The 22,266-nt window shown below is 56.3% G+C and overlaps 1 long non-coding RNA gene across 2 annotated transcripts, besides 6 other annotated features; it reads right to left on the bottom strand.

Annotated features, from left to right (window-relative positions):
• Positions 248 to 1,447: an enhancer, noted in NCBI's record as "BRD4-independent group 4 enhancer chr22:39704579-39705778 (GRCh37/hg19 assembly coordinates)". NCBI's record gives its function as "activates an origin of replication core promoter dependent on BRD2, P300/CBP, MED14 and CDK7 cofactors, and independent of BRD4, by STARR-seq in HCT116 cells {active_cell/tissue: HCT116}" and the evidence as "EXISTENCE:reporter gene assay evidence [ECO:0000049][PMID:35650434]".
• Positions 12,020 to 12,683: an enhancer, noted in NCBI's record as "H3K27ac-H3K4me1 hESC enhancer chr22:39693343-39694006 (GRCh37/hg19 assembly coordinates)". NCBI's record gives its function as "activates a minimal SCP1, AML or CMV promoter by ChIP-STARR-seq in naive H9 embryonic stem cells {active_cell/tissue: H9 hESC(naive)}" and the evidence as "EXISTENCE:reporter gene assay evidence [ECO:0000049][PMID:30033119]".
• Positions 12,103 to 12,397: a silencer, noted in NCBI's record as "tiled region #2181; K562 Repressive non-DNase unmatched - State 7:EnhWF". NCBI's record gives its function as "represses a minimal TATA promoter and a strong SV40 promoter by Sharpr-MPRA in K562 cells {active_cell/tissue: K562}" and the evidence as "EXISTENCE:reporter gene assay evidence [ECO:0000049][PMID:27701403]".
• Positions 12,103 to 12,397: an enhancer, noted in NCBI's record as "tiled region #2181; HepG2 Activating DNase matched - State 4:PromP". NCBI's record gives its function as "activates a minimal TATA promoter and a strong SV40 promoter by Sharpr-MPRA in HepG2 cells {active_cell/tissue: HepG2}" and the evidence as "EXISTENCE:reporter gene assay evidence [ECO:0000049][PMID:27701403]".
• Positions 12,684 to 13,349: an enhancer, noted in NCBI's record as "H3K27ac-H3K4me1 hESC enhancer chr22:39692677-39693342 (GRCh37/hg19 assembly coordinates)". NCBI's record gives its function as "activates a minimal SCP1, AML or CMV promoter by ChIP-STARR-seq in primed H9 embryonic stem cells {active_cell/tissue: H9 hESC(primed)}" and the evidence as "EXISTENCE:reporter gene assay evidence [ECO:0000049][PMID:30033119]".
• LOC124905119 (uncharacterized) lies at positions 14,210 to 17,140 on the bottom strand. Of its 2 annotated transcripts, XR_007068105.1 has the most exons (3): positions 17,017 to 17,130; positions 16,045 to 16,218; positions 15,856 to 15,940 (listed from the first exon to the last, which is right to left on the bottom strand). It is a non-coding gene; the product is annotated as an uncharacterized LOC124905119 (long non-coding RNA). The 2 variants fall into 2 exon arrangements; XR_007068104.1 differs by having other exon boundaries at positions 14,210 to 16,218; positions 17,017 to 17,140.
• Positions 14,651 to 15,511: an enhancer, noted in NCBI's record as "H3K4me1 hESC enhancer chr22:39690515-39691375 (GRCh37/hg19 assembly coordinates)". NCBI's record gives its function as "activates a minimal SCP1, AML or CMV promoter by ChIP-STARR-seq in primed H9 embryonic stem cells {active_cell/tissue: H9 hESC(primed)}" and the evidence as "EXISTENCE:reporter gene assay evidence [ECO:0000049][PMID:30033119]".
• Positions 17,141 to 22,266: the final 5,126 nt, after the last annotated feature.

Raw genomic sequence — 22,266 nt, 5'->3', positions numbered from 1 at the left:
TATCAAGGGTCCTGCCTGTGGAGCCCTGTGCTGGAACACTCACTCCCGCCAGGGAATGGTGAGTGCGAAGGCCCTGGGGTGGGACAAGGCTCCTGGGCTCCGGTATGAGCTCCTGAGGGAGGGGCTTCATGATATGGGCTCATTCCCAGCTGGATCTCCTGTCTCCCTAGCATGGAGAAGGTTTGTTGGGGGTCTCTGCATCTCTGGGCCTCGTCTGTATTGTGCGTGTGCCCCGCTGTCCCGAGCGGAGGCCTGTGGTGGGTGGGGCGGCTGCCGTGCCTGTGCATGTCACCAAGGGTACATCTCCAAGTGCCTGCTGGCATGCGCTTCCTGTCACGCTTTTCTCTCACCAGAACCCCTAGACAGGCCTCGCCGGAATCCTGCGGTGACAGAACAAGAAGTCCCATTCCATTCCTCCTGAAAAAAAGAAAAAATACCTGCTGGGAATTTCTGAGCAAGTGGGAACAGGGAGGTGGTGGCGGGAGCTGCCTTTGCCTTAAAAGGTGTGACGGAGCCAGGGACTTCGCTCAGCTCACCTGGGGATGGCCACGGGGTGTAGAGGGGTGAGTGGCTGGCCGCCACCTTGTGGGCTCACCCCAAATTGCTCTCTGCCTAGATCTTCGTTGACAGCCTTGCTGGCAGGGGCTGTGCTGCTCTGTCTCTGTCCCCCCACCCAGATGTAGCCCCATGCAGCTGGCAGCTCACCTTCCTCCCCTTGGTTCTCAACCTCGTAGCTGATAATGCAGCTACTTGCTGCAACTTCTGGGGGTCCCTCTGCCCTGCCTCCTGGGCAGTTCCCAGGAGCCCAAAGTCCCTTTCCCTTTCAGGAGCAGTCTCAGGAGCCCGGGCCAGGCCACCGACAGGAGACTGCCTGATGCAAACCTCACGGGAGGCAGGAAATTACAGTAGCCCCTACCCTCCGACACCCCCCGTGGATTCCTGAAACCGCGGATAGTACGGAACCCTCTGTGGATTAGGCTTTTTCTCTCTGATCACCAAGAGGGCTACAAAGTGACTCACGGGCGGGAACGCCTGCAGCGCGGAGACGCTGGACAGAGGAATGAGTCACGATCATCGCTGCATGATTTCATCACCCTGCTCAGAATGGCATGCAATGTCAAATTATGAATTATTTCTGAAATTTTCTCTTTAATATTTTCAGGCTGTGGCTGACTGCTGGAAACTGCAACTAAGGAAAGTGAAACCACAGATAATGGGGGCGCTGCGGTAACTCCACGGGCCTGAGAGTGAGGGAGGAAGGGAGCATCCAGGAACCATCCAGAGCCCAACCTCACCAGCCGCTCACCCACAATCAGCAGCACTCACAGGTCAAGGCAGTGCGCGGGACAGCAGGCGGCAATCATTGTGAGCATCTTGCTCTGTATTAGGCACTGAGCATTTCACACAGAGAAAAAGTCATCAGGCTCACTCCTTGAGGCAGGTTCTGTTATGATCACATTTTACAGTAAGAAACTGGGGCTTGTGGATGAATAACTTGCCCAGGGATGCTGTATGATTGGTGGGGTTGGGACGTGAGCCCAGGCATCTCTTCACCCTCACTCTAGGCTACCAGGGGTCGGTAAAGCCAATGAATGCTGCCTCAAGGGTGAAGGAGAGGGCTCATTTGTTGAGCACCTACGGTGTGCCAAGGTTTGTACTCAACTCTTTTCAGAGTTACCTTATTTTTATTTTTTGAGACAGGGTCTCACTGTGTCGCCTAGGGCTGGAGTGCGGTGGTGCGATCACGGCTCACTGCAGCCTTGACCTCCCAGGCTCGAGCAATCCTCCCACCTCAGCCTCCCGAGTAGCTGGGACTATAGGCACCCGCCACCACGCCCGGCTAATTTTTTTTTATTTTTTAGTAGAGACAGGGTTTCATCGTGTTAGCCAGGATGGTCTCGATCTCCTGACCTCGTGATCCACCTGTCTCGGCCTCCCAAAGTGCTGGGATTACAGGCATGAGCCACCGCGCCCGGCCTAATATTTGTATTTTTTGTAGAGAGTGGGTCTTGTCATGTTGCCCAGGCTGGTCTCGAACTCCTAGGCTTAAACAATCCTCCCCCCTCAGCCTCAGAAAGTGCTGGGATTAAAAGCGTTCAGCTACCTCGCCCAGCCCAGAGTTACCTTATTTATTTATTTACTTATTTTTGAGACAGAGTCTCACTCTGTTATCCAGGATGGAGTGCAGTGGCGCGATCTCAGCTCACTGCAACCTCCACCTCCCGAGTTCAAGCGATTCTTGTGCCTCAGCCTCCTGAGTAGCTGGGATTATAGGCACGCCACCACGCCTGGCTGATTTTTGTATTTTTAGTAGAGATGGGGTTTCACCATGTTGGCCAGGCTGGTCTTGAACTCCTGACCTCAGGTGATCCACCTGCCTCGGCCTCCCAAAGTGCTGGGATTACAGGTGTGAGCCACTGAGCCCCGGCATCACTTCTGTTTTCACAGGGAGGAAATTGAGGCTCAGCAAGGTTAAGTCACAGTCTCCGAGGTCAGACTCTTGGAGTGGCGAGGCGGGGATATAAAATCCAGGCTCCAGACACGAGCGCACAACCATCACACCACGCTGTCCTGGTGCAGGAGGGCTGCGAAAGCTCTGGGTGAGGACTGGAGGGACACTGTTTCCCAGCAGCCACTGCGACCCCCAATGCTCCTTGGCCCCCTACCCTCTCCCAGGCTCCTACAGTGGGCCCCTGCTTCTTTACGGATGAGGTCTCCTGGAGCCCGGTACCACAGCCAGCCCCACCCTTGCTGGGCCCTGAGCCTGCACAGCTGGTCTTCAGGTCACTGGGCTTCATGTGACTATGGAGAAGTGACCCCTCCCCACCCGGTCCCCACCAGAGTCCTGCTTAGCCCGGCAGAGGAAAACGGCTGTGAGGGAAGGCACTAAAGATAGCTGCCTCGCCAACTTCCCCATCCTACTGGCCGCTGTCTCCTCCCCAGTGGGCTTCTCCAGCAGACCTCCACCCCAGGCCATCCTTGAGCCTGGTCAGCCAGCCCGGGGCATAAGCAGGGACCCAGGCGATGGTCACCACCATGGCCGCTGTTACTGAAGACTCACGGGCCCCAGGCACTGGGCCAGGCAGGACTGTGTGCCTTACTGCACAGAAACCCCTCAACAGGGGGCAGCAAGGAGCTGCCTGTCACCCCCACTTGATAGATGGGGATCCAAGCACAGAGGAGGACCAGCTGGTGTGAAAGCCCCAGCTCATCCTCATGCCAGCAGCTGGGAACACACCTGGACATTGACACGCCACGCCATCTTCCCCCATGGCCCAGGGCCTATGGACACACTGGCTTGGCAACACCAGAGCCTATGATGAAGACACCATGTCATCCCCCATCCATCTGTGACACCATCTCCACCCGCAGCAGGAATATTTACATCAGGGAAACAGGCAGACACTAGAGATCAGGGCCATTCCTCCAGGGAGCTGCTTGTTAGACATTTACCAGCACAGCACTGACCCCAACCTTCTGTTCTGCTGGTGACACCAATGGCTGAACCCAGCTGGAAGTGGCAAGGGAGTTTAGTTGATATAGTCCCCAGAAGTCAGCATCCTGGGGCACAGAGAAGTGGGTGAAAGGGCGGCTTGAGGATCTGGAGTGACAGACACAAGATCCAGCCCAATGCCCAGTGCTTCCCTCTTGCTTCCTGGGAACCACTATTCCCAGCGTTTCTCATATACATTTAATCAGAGGCAGGACCTCCCGCCTCAGCAGCTTCCCTGGCTCCACATTGCACATTCATTTACAGCTGACCTGTGAACAATGTGGGGATCGAGGCAGTAACCCCCCATGCAGTAAAAAATCCAGGTGTAACTTTTGACTCCCCTAAAACTTAACTACTGGCCGGGCTCGGTGGCTCATGCCTATAATCCCAGCACTTTGAGAGGCCGAGGTGGGTGGATCACGAGGTCAGGAGATTGAGACCATCCTGGCTAACACAGTAAAACCCTGTCTATACTAAAAAAATACAAAAAAATTAGTTGGGTGTGGTGGTGCGTGCCTGTAGTCCCAGCTACTTGGGAGGCTGAGGCAGGAGAATGGCCTGAACCCAGGAGGTGGAGCTTGCAGTGAGCCGAGATCACGCCACTGCACTCCAGCCTGGGCGATGGAGCGAGACTCTGTCTCAAAAAAAAAAAAAAAATTTTAACACTCAGTAACTTTTTTTTTTTTTGAGACGGAGTCTCGCTCCGTCGCCCAGGGTGGAGTGTAGTGGCACCATCTCGGCTCACTGCAACCTCTGCCTCCTGGGTTCAAGAGATCCTCCTTCCTCAGCCTCCCGAGTAGCTGGGACTACAGGTGCCTGCCACCACACCCGGCTAATTTTGTATTTTTAGTAGAGACAGGGTTTCACCATGTTGGCCAGACTGGTCTCAAACTCCTGACCTCAAGTGATCCGCCCGCCTCAGCCTCCCAAAGTGCTGGGATTACAGGCATGCGACGCTGCACCCGGCCTTAACTACCAATAACTTACTGTTGACTGTGAAAACAGTTGATTAACACATATTTTGTGTGTTACGTGTATTATATACTATAGTCTTATAATAAAGTAAGGTAGAGAAAAGAAAATGTTATTAAGATAATCTGGCTGGGCATAGTGGCTCATGCCTGTAATCTCAGCACTTTGGGAGGCCAAGGCAGGCGGACCGTCTGAGGTCAGGAGTTCGAGACCAGCCTGGCCAACATGGTGAAACCCCGTCTCTACTAAAAATATAAAAATTAGCTGGGCATGGTGGCGCGCGCCTGTTATCCCAGCTACTCAGGAGGCTGAGGCATGAGAATCGCTTGAACCCAAGAGGTGGAGGTTGCAGTGAGCCGAGATCGCGCCATTGCACTCCAGCCTGGGGGACAAGAGTGAGACTCCATCTCAAAAAAAAAAAAAAAAAAAGAAGTGGAAACTCCAAGTCCAAATCCGTGTTGTTCGAGGGTCAGCTGTATTTTTTTTTTCTTGATCCAGGTTTTTGCTCTGTCGCCCAGGCTGGAGTGCAGTGGTGTAATCTCGGCTCACTGCAACCTCTGCCTCCCAGGTTCAAGAGATTCTCCTGCCTTACCCTCCCGAGTAGTTGGGATTACAGGCACAGACCACCACGCCCAGCTAATTTTAGTATTTTTAGTAGAGTTGGTGTTTCACCATGTTGGCCAGGCTGGTCTCAAACTCCTGACCTCAGGTGATCCACCCACCTTGGCCTCCCAAAGTGCTCAGATGGCAGGAGTGAGCCACTGCGCCCAGCCTTGAGGGTCAATTGTATTCATATGTCACCGTTACCAACCTTTATTAGGCACCAACAGGCATTCAAGGCTCTTCACTAGGCGGCTGCAGCCTGCCAGCTCATCCCAGGCTGCTGTGCCTCAGCCGTGCGAGACCACCAGAGTCGCCCTTCCACCTGTGCCTCGGTGTCCCTGTCTACAATCCTGGTGTGGTGCGTGGAAAAGAGCTGCCTGGGCTGGCAATTGGCAGCTCAAGGGCCAGCCCAGCTCGCAGTTATGCTTTGTTTGGTCCTCAGAGTTGCAAAAGAAAATTAAAGGGTACTGACCTTTGCTTTCACGCAGAACTCACATTTCCAGCTTCTTTAGGCAATAGGGTGATCTGGCGGCAACAGGCTGGAGCTGCAAAGCTGCTGCCCTCCCACCATGGCCCTCCCCAGCCTCTGTCTCAGGGTTACCTCTGCAGGCCTGGCAGCCAGCAGGGTCCAGCACACAGTAGGTGCTCAGTGAAGAACTGGGAGGTGGAAGAGACTGGGACAGAGGGACGAATGAAGCGCCTACCAGCCGCTCCTATGAAACCCCTGTTTGGGTGAGCTTGTTTTACACGAGGCCTTGAATTCAGGAGTTGGCAGACTTTGACCTTTTTTTATTTTTTATTTTTGAGACGGAGTCTTATTCTGTTGCCCAGGCTGGAGTGCAGTGATGCCATCCTGGCTCATCACAGCCTCGACCTTCTGGCACAAGTGATCCTCCTGCCCCAGCCTCCCAAGTAGCTGGGACTACAGGTGCATGCCACCACGCCTGGCAAATTTGTTTTTTTAGACGGAGTCTTGCTCTGTTGCCCAGGCTGGAGTGCAGTGGTGCAATCTCAGCTCACTGCAACCTCTGCCTCCTGGGTTCAAGCATTTCTTCTGCCTCAGCTTCTTGAGTAGCTGGGACTACAGGCGTGTGCCACCACGCCCAGCTAATTTTTGTATTTTTAGTAGAGACGGGTTTGACTATATTGGCCAGGCTGGTCTCCAACTCCTGACCTCGTGATCAGCCCGCCTCAGCCTCCCAAAGTTCTGAGATTACAGGCGTGAGCCACTGTGCCCAGCTCTATGCCTGGCTAATTTAAAAAAAATTATTTTGTAGAGACAGGGCCTCACTATGTCACCCAGGCTGGTTTTGAACTCCTGGGCTCAAGCAATTCTCCAGCCTCGGCCTTCCAAAGTGCTGGGATTACGGACGGACGCCACCACAACTGGCCACTACACTTTGATCTTTAAAAACCTGATCAATAGCATGAGCCTGGAAACCATCCAAAAGTCCACTGGCCCTGAGGCCATCATGCACAGCGTTGTCTCCTCGGCCTGGGAGCGTCACGTGGCAGTGCAGGTGGAGCTGGAGTCACAGACGCCCCTCACGGAGGGACCTCTCAGTGCAGAGCAAAAAGGGCAAGTTGCAGAGAAATTCCCATGTTGCAGAGAGATAGCTGTTCCCTTCTTTCGGCATGTGTGAAGGATTTTATAATTTATTAAAAACATGCAAATGGGGCCAGGCGCAGCGGCTCACGTCTGTAATCCCAGCACTTTGGGAGACTGAGGCAGGTGGATCACCTGAGGTCAGGAGTTTGAGACCAGCCTGGCCCACATGGCGAAACCCCGTTTCTACTAAAAATACAAAAATTAGCGGGGCCTGGTGGTGGGTGCCTGTAATCCCAGCTACTCAGGAGGCTGAGGCAGGAGAATCGCTTGAACCCGGGAGGTGGAGGTTGCAGTGAGCTGAGATCGCATTACTGCACTCCAGTCTGGGCGACAGAGTGATACTGTGTTTCAAAATAATAATAATAATAATACAATAAATAAATAAATAAATAAATAAATAATGAATGGCAAACCCAGTCTGCATTGGCTGCATGGCATAGTGGACAGTGACCGGGATGGGCACTGGGGTGGCCTCCTGTGCCAGCTCTCCTGAGAACTCATGGTGCAGGCTTGGTGAGGCCTGTCTGGGCCTCAGTTTCCTTGTCTGTGGCATGGGGGCTCAGGCTGAGGGAGGGCAGGGTTGCACAATTTCTCAGAGCCCTTTCAGCTGTGAGGCTGGGACTCCAAAGCTCAAAGGAAGTACAGAGTGAAAAGACTGACAGAGAGATGCTGTGGGCTCTAGCAATCAGGGAAGGCTTCCTGAAAGAGGGGGCTTGAGCTGAGCTGTGAAGGCTGAGCAATGCCCTGCCAGGGTTAACCTGAACAGGAAGGGTGGGCATTCATGATGCCAAGGAATTGATTGATGCAGGACAAGAAAGGGCTGGCCAAATTAGGGCTTAGCCTTGGAGGGTTCTTGGCTTCTCCCAGGAAAGAATTCAAGGGCGAGCAGATGGTGTTAAACAGCACCTTTCACTGAAGTGACAGTGTACAGTAGCAGCAGAGGTCTCGCTCTTCCTGGAGCAGGGGTACCCCATAGGCAGTGGGCCCAGACCAGCAGCTCAGAAGCAGGGTTGCCCTCATATTTATACCTACTTTAATTATATGCAAATGAAGGGGCGGGTTATGCAGAAATTTACAGGACAAGGGGGCAACTTCTGGGTTGTTAGGTCAATGCTATAGAAGAGGTTGGCAATTTCAGGGAGTTGCCATGGCAATGGTAAACTGATATGGCACACTGGTGGGCGTGTCTTAGGGGGAGGTGCTTCACCGACCTGTTTTAGCTAGTCCTCAATTTGGTCCAGTGTCTGAGCTGTGCCTCTGGAGTCAAGTCCGACCTCCTACCTCGGAATGAGTTTGTGAGAGAGACTTCAGGCACGCAGGCAGTGAGTTAGGGAGATATTTGCGGGTGGGCTGTGGGAGGCCTTCCCTGAGATCTTCCATTGGACCTCATCCCAGGGTACTCACTTCTCCATCCTGGATGGGTGGGTGGGCGTGGGAAGTGGATCTCATGGCTCGTTGTGCCCCATGAGCCAGGCATTGCACCTGCTCTTGTCGTGCATGGTCCATTTGCTCCTCACACCTGAGGAAGGGGGCGGCAGGCACAAAGGTCACCCCCGTTTCACAGGAGAAGAAACTGGGCTCCACAGCCAGGCTCCTCTGGGCTCGTCTACCTGGGGAGGTAGAGGAGAGGAAGCCCCTTGGGGAAGCAGGAGGCCAATGCTCAGAGCTCCTGTGTGGCCATTCTTCCTGCCCAGAATGCCATTCCCTCTTGTCTGTGGTGGGAACCCCAACTTGCCCTTCCGGGCTTGGCTCCAATGTCACCTCCTCCTGGAAGCCTTCCCTGACCCCCACCTGCATCGGGGTTGCCTGATGTTTGCTCTTTTGCACTCTCTGCTTCTCCCTCCCCACTTTGTGCTCCACGTCCATCTTCCCAGCCAAGCGGGGACCTCCTTGGGTCCCGGGTTGTGTCTGTCTTGCCTTTTTTGTACCCTCTGCACCCAGCACAGTGCTGAGCACATCGTAGGAGTTCAATGAACGTTTGTTGAAAGACCCATTGCCTGAAGGCACGCACGCATAAACTAAGAATGAATGAGGTGACTTGCCCAGGGTCACCCAGATGGTCAGGGCTGCATGGCCCTGGTGGAACAGCAGCACCCAATCCCCTCTGGCCTCCTGCCTGGTTTCCTGCTTCTGTTCTATTTTTTTTTTTTTTTGAGATGGTGTCTCCCTCTGTTGCCCAGGCTGGAGTGCAGTGGCACAATCTTGGCTCACTGCAACCTCAGTCTCCCGGGTTCGAGTGATTCTCCTGCCTCAGCCTCTGGAGTAGCTGCGATTACAGGCTCCTGCCACCACACTTGGCTAATTTTTTGTTGTTGTTGTATTTTTAGTAGAGATGGCATTTCACCATGTTGGCCAGGCTGGTCTCGAACTACTGACCTCAAATGATCCACCTGCCTCAGCCTTCCAAAGTGCTGGGATTACAGGCGTGAGCCACCGTGCCCAGCCCCACTTCTGTTCTTGATGCTCACATCTATCCTTTACCCGGCGGCCAGAGTCAAACAAACCCCTGTCAGATTGCACCCTGCCTCTGCTGCACACCCTCCATAGCTCTGCTGGATGCAGAGTGAGAGCTCAGGCCACCACAGTGCCCAGGACCCGCTCCTCCCAGGCCTCATGGCCACACAGGTCTCCTCTCTGTTCCTGCAATGCAGCAGGCTGGCCACCGCCTCGGGCGCCTTTGCACTGGCTCTCCCCGATTCTTGGAATGCTCGTCCCTGGAAATTTGCAGAGGCCACTTTCTCAGCTGCAACCTTGCTGCCCCAGGGCTCCTGACCCCGCACCCCACTCTGCCTCCTCTGTTCCAGGCACTGTCGCCTGCCACCGGCAGCAGGATGCACTTCTGTGTCATGGTCACTGCGTGTCTCCCCGAGTCCCACTAGGGCAGGGCCCTTTATTTGGGTCTCTGTTCTCCAGGCTTCCAGAGAAGGGAGGGCGGGGGAGATGTGGTCTGGAGCGCGTGAGAGACCGGGGAGAACTCCAAGGTGCAGCAACTTCCTCAAAGCAAATTTAGGAAAAGCTGAAGTGAAAAAGGCTCGGGCAGCTGCGTGCTTCCTGCAGCCGGTCCGGAGCCCAGGGCATGTGTCTGGGTCTGTGTGTGACTTGTGTGTCTGCATGTCTGTCTGTGTGAGTGTATATTGTGGGGTGGGGGGCAGTGGATTCTGGAACCAGGGACCTCTCAGAGCCTCAGGGGGCAGAGCTAGGTGGTCTCTGGCCCAGGGGCTCCAGACAGGGGTTCTGGTTCCGCAGAGCTGTGGGGCTGGGTGCTTCTGTCCTTTTCCCCTGGGGCAGAGTGACCTAAGAGGACAGGATGCGTGTAAACTCTGGAGCGGACTTTCAGGGTTCCATTCCCAGCTGCACCACTTCCTGCGTGACCTTGAGGAAGTGATTTAACCACACTGTGCCTCAGTCTCATCATCTGAGAAATGGACATGCTGAGGCTCCTGCCGCCATGCTTGGCTAATTTTAATTAACAGGCCACCTCCTGTTGTTGCCAGGATTTGATGAATGAAGGCGTGTGAGCGGCTGAGACCCACATTTGGCCGTCAGCTCACATTCACCACGGGCGTCAGTCTAAGATCCAGTGTGAGCGAGACCCAGGCCAGCCTCAGGGAGGGGGCGCCAGGCAGAGGGAGAGGCCGCCAGTGCTGTGCAGTGGTGTGAGGGCTGGGGAGGCAAGCTGGGGAGGCAAGCTGGGGAGGGGTCCCACCCCAGGCAGGGAGCCCGGAGGAAGGCGGTCTCAGGGGAGGCTGAACAGGCCAGGAAAGAGGAAGAAGAGAAAGTGGCCACAGGGACAGGGCAGCAAGGGTCAAGCCTGCAGGGGGAGAGATGGATGGGTGAGGGCTGCGAGAAACTCGGGGATACCCATGCCCAGTGGGACCAAGGGATGGGGCTGGAGTGCAGCCACATGTTCCACCTCCCCCAAGTGCCAGGCTGCATTGGACTTTGTCCTGGAGCCGTGCAGAGCCATGGGAGGTTTTTGAGCAGGGGCTCGGAGGCCTCAGCTCATGGTTTCCATCTGGTTCCAGGCTGATGGGGAGGCACCATCACAGCCCAGGTCAGGAAGGTGAGACACTCATACCAAACACTTAGAAAACAGGGCCAGAGGCCGGGCGCGGTGGCTCACGCCTGTAAACCCAGCACTTTGGGAGGCCGAGGCGGATGGATCACCTGAGGTCAGGAGTTCGAGACCAGCCTGGCCAACATGGTGAAACCCTGTGTCTACTAAAAATACAAAGAATTAGCCCGGCGTGGTGGCGGGTGCCTGTAATCCCAGCTACTCAGGAGGCTGAGGCAGAAGAATCGCTTGAACCCAGGAGGCGGAGGTTGCAGTGAGCCAAGATTACGCCATTGCACTCCAGCCTGGGCAATAAGAGCGAAACTCCATCTCAAAAAAAAAAAAAAAGCCAGAGCACCCGACTCGGTGGCTGAAAAAGTCTTAAGGGGCAAAGGGGCCTGTGAAGGTTTCCTGGCGGAGGCCCTGGAAGTGAGCCTCAGTGGAGCCAATAAGAGACCTCCTCAGCCTGCTGAGTGACTTCAGGCAAACCACTGCCCTCTCTGGTCTCAGCTCCCACCTGCCCTGGCAGGGACTCACCTGGCCCCACCCCTGTGTCTCTCTTGGGCTCTGACATTCCACGATCACAGATGGGCAAGAATGGAATCCGCCAGAGGCAGATTCAGATTCTTGATTTAGACGGAGAATCTGCCTCGGTCTCCCCCCTGCACTGTGTTGGGGGTCAGGCAGGGAGGACAATCGCGTTTGATTGTCAAAGACCTTGCAAGCCTCAGGGGCCAGCTGCCAAGGAGTGTTTTCCATTCCTGGGAGGGTGGGCCCTTCCTGCCAGGAGAAAATTCCAAACTCCCGCCAGGAAGGAGAGAGCTCCTGCCACCCCCGGTGACCACACACCCGCCGCCCAAACCCTGTGGCATCAACTGCGTTTTTTCTCTTCGTTTCCCCTCTCTTGGCCAAGGTGGAGGGAGCCTCCCTGGGCCTGGAGGAGAGGCCCTCAGCGCCTCCAGTTTGCTCAGAGGTGCCCTCTCTCTTCCCCTGTCCCTTCCTGCCTTCTCTGTTCCAGGCGCAGGCTCACAAGGTACAGGCCTTGTGAATGGCCCCCAACCAAAGCGCCTTGCTCTGCTCCTGGGTGTCTGTTAGTCTGGGTGGTGTGAAGAACATGGGGCTTCTATCCTCTGGGACAATGGGATTGTTACTTGAGAATTAAGAGCCCTCGCTCCTGAAATTAGAAGTCCTAGTTTCCATGGTCTGATCTTCGTTTGTAAGATACGCATTCCTGAAATTATTTAGTTCTACGAATTCTTGGGACTAGAATGGAAAATATCCCAGTAGTCGATGGTCCCGGAATTTTCTGGTTGTAAGAATGTGTTGTTCTAGGATTCTCTAGTTCAAAGGCACTGTGGTTCTGGAAGTCTGGATCCAGCTGTCCAGAGTTCAGATACCACACTGTGGGCCGAGGGCGCCGTAAGAGCTGGTGGGGCCCAGGGAGGAGCTGGGAAAGGGGTGGTGGCCGGGTGGCAGTGTGGCACAGGGCAGGCCAGGTGTGCCGGTGTGGGTGTTGGCGGCAGCTCCAGCGCTGACAGCTGGGGAGGGACTGCTGCCTGAGCCCATCGCACCTGGCCCTGACCCAGGAAGGGGAGGGGGCAGGGACAGGAAGAGGACTCAGAAGAGGCCTGGCTGAGAGCCTCCCGGGAGCTCTGCCCTCCCCTGCCCTCCCCTGCCCTCCCCTGAGACTCCTCTCCTGTTGCCCCACTGAACTCCCAGTGGCAGAACGTGCTGGGGCTGCCTTGGGCAAGTGGGGCGTCCAGGCCCTGCAGCCAGGGGCAGGGCCTCCTCCTGGTCTGACTGAGAGCTGGGGTAGCCCAGGACTCCCCACAGCCAGTCTGGGGCTCTTTCCATGGGTCTCCTGTTAATCGGCCCTCAGACGCCCCCGCTTCATCCCTGAATGTTTGGTCTCTGGTCACAGCCAACCCTCTCCCCATGCACTACTGGCCGCTTCAGGTCTTTGGCCTGGGAGGAGTCAGGAGCTCAGAGTTTGCTGTCAGGAGGCCTCAGTCTTCCCATCTGGGTGCTGGGAGTGGTGGGCCATCAGGCCGGCCCTCCCGCCCTGTCTCCACGCTGACTTCTTCCCTTGTCCTGCGGTAGGCTTCCCGTGCCCTCCTGGCTCCTGCGAGGAGGGGCTCCCTGCCCTTCCCCAGCCCTGCCTGGCGGGCTCCCAGCGGGCCCGTGGGAGCTGGAATTTGGAGCAGTCCCTGGCGTGTGTGCGCTGCCTCCCGCCTGCCTGCCGGGGCACCTCCTCTGACTCGGGGCCAGGAATTCCTCCCGCCTGTTCCCCACCAGCCCCAAGGGAAGGGGTTGCTGTGGGAAGGACCAAGCACATGCTGGAAGTCTGGACTGAGGGAGAGTTGGGGAGGGAGCCCCGGCCTGGGGCTGGCAGAACAGGCTGGGGTGGGCTGGGGGAGAACGGGGGATGGGTTCTGACCATGCCCCCAACACTTCTTTTCCTTGCATGGGCACAGATGATAGATAACAAGTTTAGAGTCCTGTGCCCTCCTATGGACTCATTCGCTCAAGTATTTACTGAGCATCTACTATATGCCAGGCACTGCCCTAGGTGCTGGAGAGACATCATGAGTGGGACAGAGAGAAGTCCTGCCCACACCACACAGGGCTTCCAGTCTAGCGTGAGGACAGACACAATCTGGAAGATTAGCGCAGAGAGGTTTGTGCAAAGACACAAATCCAGTGGGTGCTGGGTCAGCGAGTGGCTGGGCTGCTTCTACAGGGAGATGGGGGGTTGGGGAGATCTGGAGGGTCTCTTGGAGGAGCTGTCTTAGCGGAGGCTTGCGTAATGAGAGGCCAAGGAGAAGGGGAGAGGCTGGAACTGGCCTGGAGGAAGACAGATCAGCCAGGACCCCCTGTAGCTGCGGGATGGGAGAGGGCAGGACTTTGAAGCCAGGCGCAGCATCTTTGTTTTATTGTTTTGTGTCATTTATTCTTTTTTTTTTTTGAGGCGGAGTCTCGCTCTGTCGCCCAGGCTGGAGGGCAGTGGCGTGATCTCGGCTCACTGCAAGCTCTGCCTCCCAGGTTCACGCCATTCTCCTGCCTCAGCCTCCTGAGTAGCTGGGACTACAGGCACACGCCACCACGCCCGGCTAATTTTTTGTATTTTTAGTAGAGATGGGGTTTCACCATGTTAGCCAGGATGGTCTCGAACGCCTGACCTCAGGTGATCTGCCTGTCTTGGGCTCCCAAAGTGCTAGGATTACAGGCGTGAGCCACCACGCCCTTCCAGTTAATGTTTAACAACTGGCTCTCTGGGCAGGGTGGGGGCTGGCTTAGATCCCTAACTTGCCACATTTGCCAATTTCTGTGGTGTAAACATACCCACCACGGGTAAGTTCAAGTTAGAAACCTGAAGTCCCTGCATTGGGGTTGGGGAGAGGGGCACGTCTCCCAGCACAGATCCACAGATGTAAATAACCTCAAAAACATAGATACGTAGGAGAATGTGGTCAAGTAATTGGGGGGTGATGAGTTTTGAATGTTTATTGAAATTGTAAGTTTTTTTTTGTTGTTGTTCTTTTGTTTTTTTTGAGACAGAGTCTTGCCCTGTCACCCAGGCTGGAATGCAGTGGTGCGATATCAGCTCACTGCAACCTCTGCCTTCCAGGTTCAAGTGATTCTCCTGCCTCAGCCTCCTGAGTTGCTGTGATTACAAGTGTGCGCCACCACGCCTGGCTAGTTTTTTCTTTTTTCTTTTTTTTTTTTGTATTTTTAGTAGAGACTGGGTTCCACCATGTTGGCCAGGCTGGTCTTGAACTCCTGACCTCAAGTGATCCACCTGCCTCGGCCTCCCAAAGTGCTGGGATTACAGGCGTGAGCCACCATGCCTGGCCCTGAACTGTAAGTTTAAATACTTTGACGTCTAATTATGGCTGTGTTTTGAAGCCAGTTTGCAAAATTCCTGAAAATGCAGCAGTTGCTGAGGCGCCAGCTCCTGGGCCTGGTGAGGAGATAGGACTGTGGGAGGAGCGTGTTGGGGAGGAAGATGAGTTCTGAGTTGTGCTCCCTCCCCCTCCACCAGCCTGACTCCCTGAGGGCATGGACCATCCTCACAGCCTCAGGGGCCCCTTCTGAACACAGCCCCTGCCTTCTTCCACTTTCCCATCTCTTCCACCACCCCAGCCCAGCAGTGCGGGAGCAGAGTGGCCCTTGGCTGGGCGAGACAGAACTTGGAGGGTAGACAGAACACTGTTGGGAGGGAGGAGGCCTGGGCCCCTCTCCTGCATCCGCCCCTCACTTGCCGTGTAATCCTGGGATAGTCATGACCTGCCTCAGGCCTCAGTTCCTCTACCTGTAAAATGAGGCACTTGGACAGGAGGTGATGGGCTGCCTTCCCCACCCTGATGGCCTCTCGCTCTGGTTTCCAAGGCGTGTGAGGCCCAGCCATCTTCTAGAGGCCATTGGCCGCTGATGGGGGTTGGCCCCGAACTACCCACTTGGCCCCCGCCTCAGCTTGCCTGGTCCTCCAGCTGTATGCCCTGCGCATTCTGGCTTGCTAATGATGTCACTGCTGGGGAGACAGTGACTTCAGGTGGGGGTTACCCTGCCCCAGGCTCCTGTGACTCAGCGCCAGGCCTGCTTCCTCCGGGGAGCCTTCATGGGTTGCTCTTCTATTCTGAACACCTCCCAGCTCACCCAGACCCTCACGATAGGCTATGTCCTGATTTGGGTGTGAGCCCAGCCTCCCCATGCCAACCTGGCACACCCAGAAGGCAGTGCAGGGGTGTCCAGTGCGGAGCGAGGAGTCCTGGCCCAAACCTACCAGCCGAGTGACTTTGGGCCAGTCATTCTCCCTTGCTAAGCCTCAACTCTGCTTCTGAAATAGGGGTCTGTTTCCAAACCAGTCCTTCAAGCACCTCACAGCGGATAGGGGGGCAGAAGGCCTGACCTGTAGCATGTGGCTCTCAATTTTGCAGCAGCAAGAAACGATTCCATCAGTGGCACGGCCAGCTCAATAGTACTCAAATTCCACGGCTTGAAATGCTGTCGATGAGCTGACGTTGCCTGACTTTCACCTCCAACCCCAGTCCTGGGCCCAGCTGGTCCGCCACACCTCCCAGAACTCTGGATCCCCGCAGCTGTCACCAGCCCCACTGTCTACCTGCTGCTTAAGGTAAAAGCCCACTGGTCACCCTGGCTACAGGCAGCAGCAGGGGCGGAGCTCATGCCGAGTGCAGAAAGCCCACGCCTGCAAAAAATCACACGCTGGTCTCACTGACAGGAAGGTCCAGACCGGGTGGGCTCCTGGTGACGGGAGAGTGGTTACCCTTGGGGGCAGGGGTGGGTACTGACCAGAAGGAGAGCCAGGGCAGCTTCTCGGGGCTGGAAATATTCTCTGTCTTGATCTTGGAGCCGGTTTTACTGGTATGTTGAGTTGAAATAATCTTATCATCAGTCTTGATTCTTCCCTCATCTACTTCATACAGCAAAACAGATAAAAATCCCAGCTCTCATACACCTTCCATTCTAGTGGGGGTGATGGGAGGGCAGACATTAAACATGAAAAGCAAGTAAATAAGTGGGAAACCAGATCATGGGAAGAGCCAGAATAAGGGTGCAGGGTCAGGGGGAGATGCGTACTGCATGCGGGGGTGGGCGTGGAGTTGCTATTTTTATAGGGTGGTCTTGTTTGAACAGGGCCCTGAAGGAAGCGAGGGAGAAGCCCTGAGGCTCCCTGGGGAAGGGTGTCAGCAGTGGGAGGGAACAGCGCCTGCAAAACCTCTTAGCCGGGAAGTTCAGTAGAGTGACTCTCTACTGATGGGCATGGAAGTGGGTTAGAACCAGCCCCATGAGCGCTAAGGAGAGATGGAAACCAGGGGTAGGGAGTGGGAAGGAAGGGGGGCTTGATATTTTAGACTCAGCGGCTCCCTGTTTTTTTTTTTTTTTTTTTTTTTTTGAGATGGAGTCTCGCTCTGTCGCCAGGCTGGAGTGCAGTGGCGCGATCTCGGCTCACTGCAACCTCCTCCTCCACGGTTCAAGCAATTCTTCTGCCTCAGCCTCCCGAGTAGCTGGGACTATAGGCGCACGCCACCATGCTGGGCTAATTTTTATATTTGTAGTAGAGATGAGGTTTCACCATATTGGCCAGGCTGGTCTTGAACTCCTGACCTCGTGATCCACCCGCCTCAGCCTCCCAAAGTGTTGGGATTAAATGCGTGAGCCACCGAGCCCGCCGACCCCCTGGTTTTATCACCTGGGGAGTGCATATTATCTGACCCATCTGCCTGAAGTCAGGCTGTCCTGACTCCTCACCCTGTATCTCACCTGTATCCTAGCCCGGTGCCTCGTCTAGGGCTTGGATCCACATGCTGGGTGAATGAGCAAACAAAGGCCTACCCGGCTTCAGCAAACCAGCCCGCCTTTGTGGAGCAGGGCCCTTCCCCTCAAGGCTTTGTTTGGACACCACTTTCTCCCCTGGACACTCCCACAGTCCCTCCCACCCCAGCAGGCTCTGCCCTGTACTGTTCCCTGCAGGAGGTGGAAAGCGCGTGGGCCGGGCTGGATCTCGGCTCACTGGCTTCCTCGCTGGGTGGCCTTGGCAAACTCCTCCCCGCCCTGAGTCAGCTTCCTGGTCCTGTGTGATATTGGGGAAATTCACACCCAGCAGGGCTGCTGGGCCCCGTGAGGGAGGCAGGGTTGTAGGGGCCGGCACAGGGCCTGGCCCACAGCAGGTGCTCAGGAGGCAGGGTCTAAGCTGTTGAGCCAGGGTGCCCCGCAGCCCAGGGGTGTAGGGTTGGGAGGAGGAAGGGTTCTTAGGGAAGAGTAATTCACTGGGGGTCCAGGGATTTGGATTTGGATTTGGCCTGTGTGACTTGGGGCAAGTCACTTCCCTCCTCTAATCCTTCCTTGGTTCCAAGAAAAATGGCAGGTGCCCTTCAGGGCTGGGGACCAGGAGAGGGGTGCTTGGGCTTGTGGAGCCCCACCCGGGAAAGGGAGGCGTGGGGATGTGGCAGAGGCCGGGGGCGGCGGCAGCTCAAAGTGTCTGGGCAGACAATGGGCACTGTGTGCGGGGAGCGGGCGGGGCGGTGCGGGTGGCAGAGTGGCTCCCCGGCAGGAATGTGCCCGGGAATGTGCCCGTCTGGGAATGCACACGGCTCCCCTGTGGTGGGCTCCCTCGGCTGGCAGCCTGCCCACCCCGCCACACGGCAGCTCAGAGCCTGGAATGGCCCAGGGAGGCGCTGGCTGACCGAGCCTTCCTGGGTCCCCACCCCCTGCAAGCCTGAGCAACCTCTGTGGGGCCTTGGAAGAGTGATGGGGGCAGGCGTCGGTTCCCTGTGCCACCAACCGTCGGGGCCTCGTCTGTGTAAGGGGTCTCTGATCGCCCTGTAGGGTTTTCCTTGGATTAAAACATCTCTTGCTGCCCAATTCACCTCCTTCACTCTCCCTCTTTCTCTCCTCGTGGAATGGGGTCTTGGGCTGTCTTGCGCACCACTGTGTCCCCAGGGCCCAGGACGAAGCTTGGCCGTGGCTGTGCTCAGTAAGAGGTGGCTGTGAAGCCATTTTCATCAGGCCCCTCCCCGCGGGCTGTGCCCTGAACTGGGCTCTCTGGGCAGTGGGGTTGGCCAGGGGGAGGCGCTGCAGACAGGGGGGCCATGGGGAGAAGTGGGGTGACCCCTGCTCCCTCCTCATCCCAGCCGGCCCCTACAGCTGTAGCTCCTGTCTCTCAGCCCTCTTTCTGCCTCCAGCTCTCACTGGCTGTCAGAGCCCTCGGCTCCGGGTTGGAAATAGCTCCTGCCATTAGCACAGCTTGGATCTAGTCCCCTCAGCCAGGTCTCTAAGATCTTTTCCTTGCATACCCCTTGTCTGTTTCCTGCTGGGACACTGATTTTGTCCTCCCAGCCACCAGGCCAGGCAGCTGTCACCAGCTCCTTTGACAGATGAGAAAACTGAGGCCCAGAGAGGGGGCGTGAAGGGGTCCAGAGAGGGGGCGTGAAGGGGTCCAAGCCTCAAGGCTGGGGAAGGTCAGATTTGAGCCTGTGTCCCTGTTCCTCCAGTGTCTGGGGCCTTGGGTCCTGGGCAACACCATTTGTCGCCTTTCTGATGAGCACAGTGATGAAGCTTTGGCTGCTCAGGTGGGTGCCCCGCAGATCATACAAATGATCACAGTGTTCCCTGACTCCCTCTCCAGCCAAGCCCTGGGCCCTGCGCCAACACTGTGTTCGAGGTGTCTCCTTCACTCTTCTCCGTGGTGGGGCCACGAGGAAGGCGCTGGGCGGGCCTGGGGCCTGCTCCTCTGAGGCCTGCAGTTGGGGCCGACGGCATTGAGCCAAGGGCTGGGAGCCTCTGAGGTCATGCTCCATCCACACCGGCGGCTGCCTCTGTCCTGCAGCCAGGGGAGCAGACAGCTGGGGAACTCCCAGGCCGGTGAGACCAGAGGCCAGGACAGCCTCAGGAGGTGGCCCCGGCCGCTGGATGACTTCACGGGTCTTTCCCGCCCTGAGTCACAGGGGCTCACTGACCCCTTGGGCACCTTTGGAGGGAGGGGCGATGGCCGGCTCAGCTGGGTGGGCTGGTGGGAGGTGGGGCTGGGCTCTGTTACCTAACAGTGGAGGAGCAGCTGGGGAAAGGAGCAGGGTCATGGCTCCCTGCCCGTGGTGTTGCCTCTGAGGTGCTGTGTGAGGGCAGGCATCTTCGCCCCTCTCTGGGCCTCGGGACCATATCACCCCTTCTGGGGGTATTGGTTCATCTTGAATCCCTCCCCCTTCCAGCTCAGGCCTGCTGGAATGGGCTGCCCCAGAGCGAAGGGAGGAATAGTCTCTGTCTCCTCCCCACCCGCACTCCACACAGGTGTGAATCAGCCCAGGTGAGGAAGCTGACTCACCTTCCCCACCTGGCCCTGGAGAAAGGGACCCTTTCCCTTGCCTGGGGGTTAGAATGAACTTGACTATTATTCTCAGAGGAGAGTGGCTCTGACACGAGGGGGCACAACGCGAAGACTTGGGGTGTCGAGTCTCTGGGAGGAAGTCCTGAGCACCTACTGTGCGCTGAGCTCGTGGACAGTGTGGACGTCCTCTCTTCCCATCTGCAACCACCTGCTGTGAGTGCCCTCCTCTGAAACGAGGTTCAGAGTGGGCAGTGACTCGCCTAAGGCCACACAGCCCAGCCAGTGCCTGTGGAGGGAAGCCCAACTGCGGCTGGTTCTTGCTCCTGGAACTTTCTGGCCCCATCTTATACGCCTCAAGCCCCTCACTGTGAGCTCAGAACCCCCCTCCTTGGGGACCAGGAGAGGCTGGGGATGGTGGGCAGACAGGAAGGAAGGGGTGGGGGTGCAGAGCCAGCCTCCATACCCCCTAACTCATATCACAGAGTCCAGGGGTCGACAGGGACAGGGAAAGCTCCCCTTCCGTGCCCCTATCATGAGTTAAGCCATTCTCCCACCGTCCTGCTGTTAATCTTTAAACGGCCCAATGATTAATTAATTACCCAAGACCCACAGGGACTCGGTTGAGTGCCCCTGGTATCTGCGACCAGGGCACCCTCTCTGCAGTACCCCGGTCTCCCAGCCCCTGATGAGAGCAAGGAGAAACACAGACGAGGCCCGCCAAACTCACAGACACAGGCAAGGATGCGACTGTCACCGGTCCAGCAAACCCTGCTCTGTCCTGGGCCCTGGGCCACAGCACAGCCTGCAGGAGACAGGCAAGGCACGGTCAGGAAAGAAGACAGAACCCCAGAGGCCAGGCGGGGCTAGGAGGGCTCCTCCCAGCCCCAGTGGACCCTGCCGCGGCACACTGGGGGGTCTGGTGTCTCTGTGTCCTTGGGGCACTGGCGGGGGGATCTGAGCCCAGTGTCTGCTGACTGGTTCTGACCCCCTCTGCCCCTCTGCCAGTCTGAGTCTCAGTTTCCCTCATCTGTGCACAGGGCTGGTCATTTCCCGCTCTCCTCTCAGGGTGAGCTGGGGAGAATGAAGAGCCACTCTGGCAGAGGCACTGGGGCTGCCCTAACAGGTGTGGAGGAGGCTGGGGAGGTTCTTGCTGAGCAGCAGTGGGACAGGCCACATGGTTCCTAATTCAGGAGGTGACCCTGGCCAAGCCCTTTCTTCTCTGTCAGCCTCGGTTTCCCTATTGATAAAAAAAGGGGTTGGAGACCCAGTGTGGTGGCTCATGCCTGTAATCCCAGCACTTTGAGAGGCCGAGGTAGGTGGATCACTTGAGGTCAGGAGTTTGAGACCAGCCTGGCCAACATGGTGAAACCCCGTCTCTACTAAAAGTACAAAAATTAGCCGGGCGTCGTGGCGGGCGCCTGTAATCCCAGCTACTCAGGAGGCTGAGGCAGGAGGATCACTTGATTCCAGGAGGCAGAGGTTGCAGTGAGACGAGATTGTGCCACTGCATTCCAGCCTGGACAACAGAGCAAGCCTCTGTCTCAAAAACAAAACAAAACCCCAAAATGAGGGGTTGGGATCTGTGACTGCCCAGGACCCTTGAGGAGCCTGTCATGGGCAAGTGGGCCGCTGGTACCAGGCAGAGCTCCCAGTCCACTGTCCCCCACTCCCTAGCCCTGCCATGCTCCAAGGTGCCCAGCTCCTACCCGGAGCAAGTGCTGGGCTGGGAACGTCGGCCATCACCTCGCCATTGACTCAGGGAGGCTCACCATCTGGAGGCCTGAGGATGCCACAGCAACTTCCAGCCTGGTCAGCAGGGCAGGTATCAGAGGCGTCCACCCTGCCATGCTGACGATTTCCACCTCATTGCCGAGGGGCCCCCTGGGCCTCCCAGAAAACTGGAGTCATTGACCCTGGGAGGCAGAGGATCTTTGAAGACAACTTGTCTTCTGGGATTTTAGAACTTTTTGAAAGTTAAAATGAGGTCAGACACAGTGACTCATGCCTGTAATCCCAGCACTTTGGGAGGCTGAGGTGGGAGGATCGCTTGAGGCCAGGAGTTCCAGACTAGAATGGGCAACATAGTGAGACCCTGTCTCTAAAATAATTTTAAAAATTAGCCAAGCGTGGTGGTGCATACCTGAAATCCTAGCTACTTGGGAGGCTGAAGAGGGAGGATCGCTTGAGCCCAGGAGTTTGAGACCAGCCTGGGCAACAGAGTGAGACTCCATCACTACAAAAAATAAATTAAAGAAAATTAGCCGAGTGTGGTGGCGAATGTCTATAGTTTCAGCTACTCAGCAGGGCTGCGGTGGGAGGATCATTTGAACCCAGGAGGCCAAGGCTGCAGTGAGCCATGACTGTGCCACTGCACTCCAGCCTGGGTAACAGACACCCTGTCTCAAAAAAAAAAAAAAAAAAAATTAACCCATTTATGCCTTAAGTTGCAATTTTTAAAACTTTTGCAATCAGACCTTGGCAATGACCTTGAGAAGGAGGACAGAAATAATTCCCAATAATGGAACACTAGGCATAAATGAAATGATACACAAATAATACACAGGTCCAGAAACACACCCTCCTTGCAGCAGGACCAAATGATGGAGAAGACACATTGGCCTTCCACATTGTTGTGGGTTGAAAAGGATCTCCCCAAAATTCATGTCTATTCTGCACCTCAGAACGTGACC

This window comes from Homo sapiens, chromosome 22 (assembly GCF_000001405.40).
Source record: "Homo sapiens chromosome 22, GRCh38.p14 Primary Assembly".
Taxonomy (NCBI): domain Eukaryota; kingdom Metazoa; phylum Chordata; class Mammalia; order Primates; family Hominidae; genus Homo; species Homo sapiens.
This window is presented reverse-complemented; position numbering and strand designations above follow the sequence as displayed.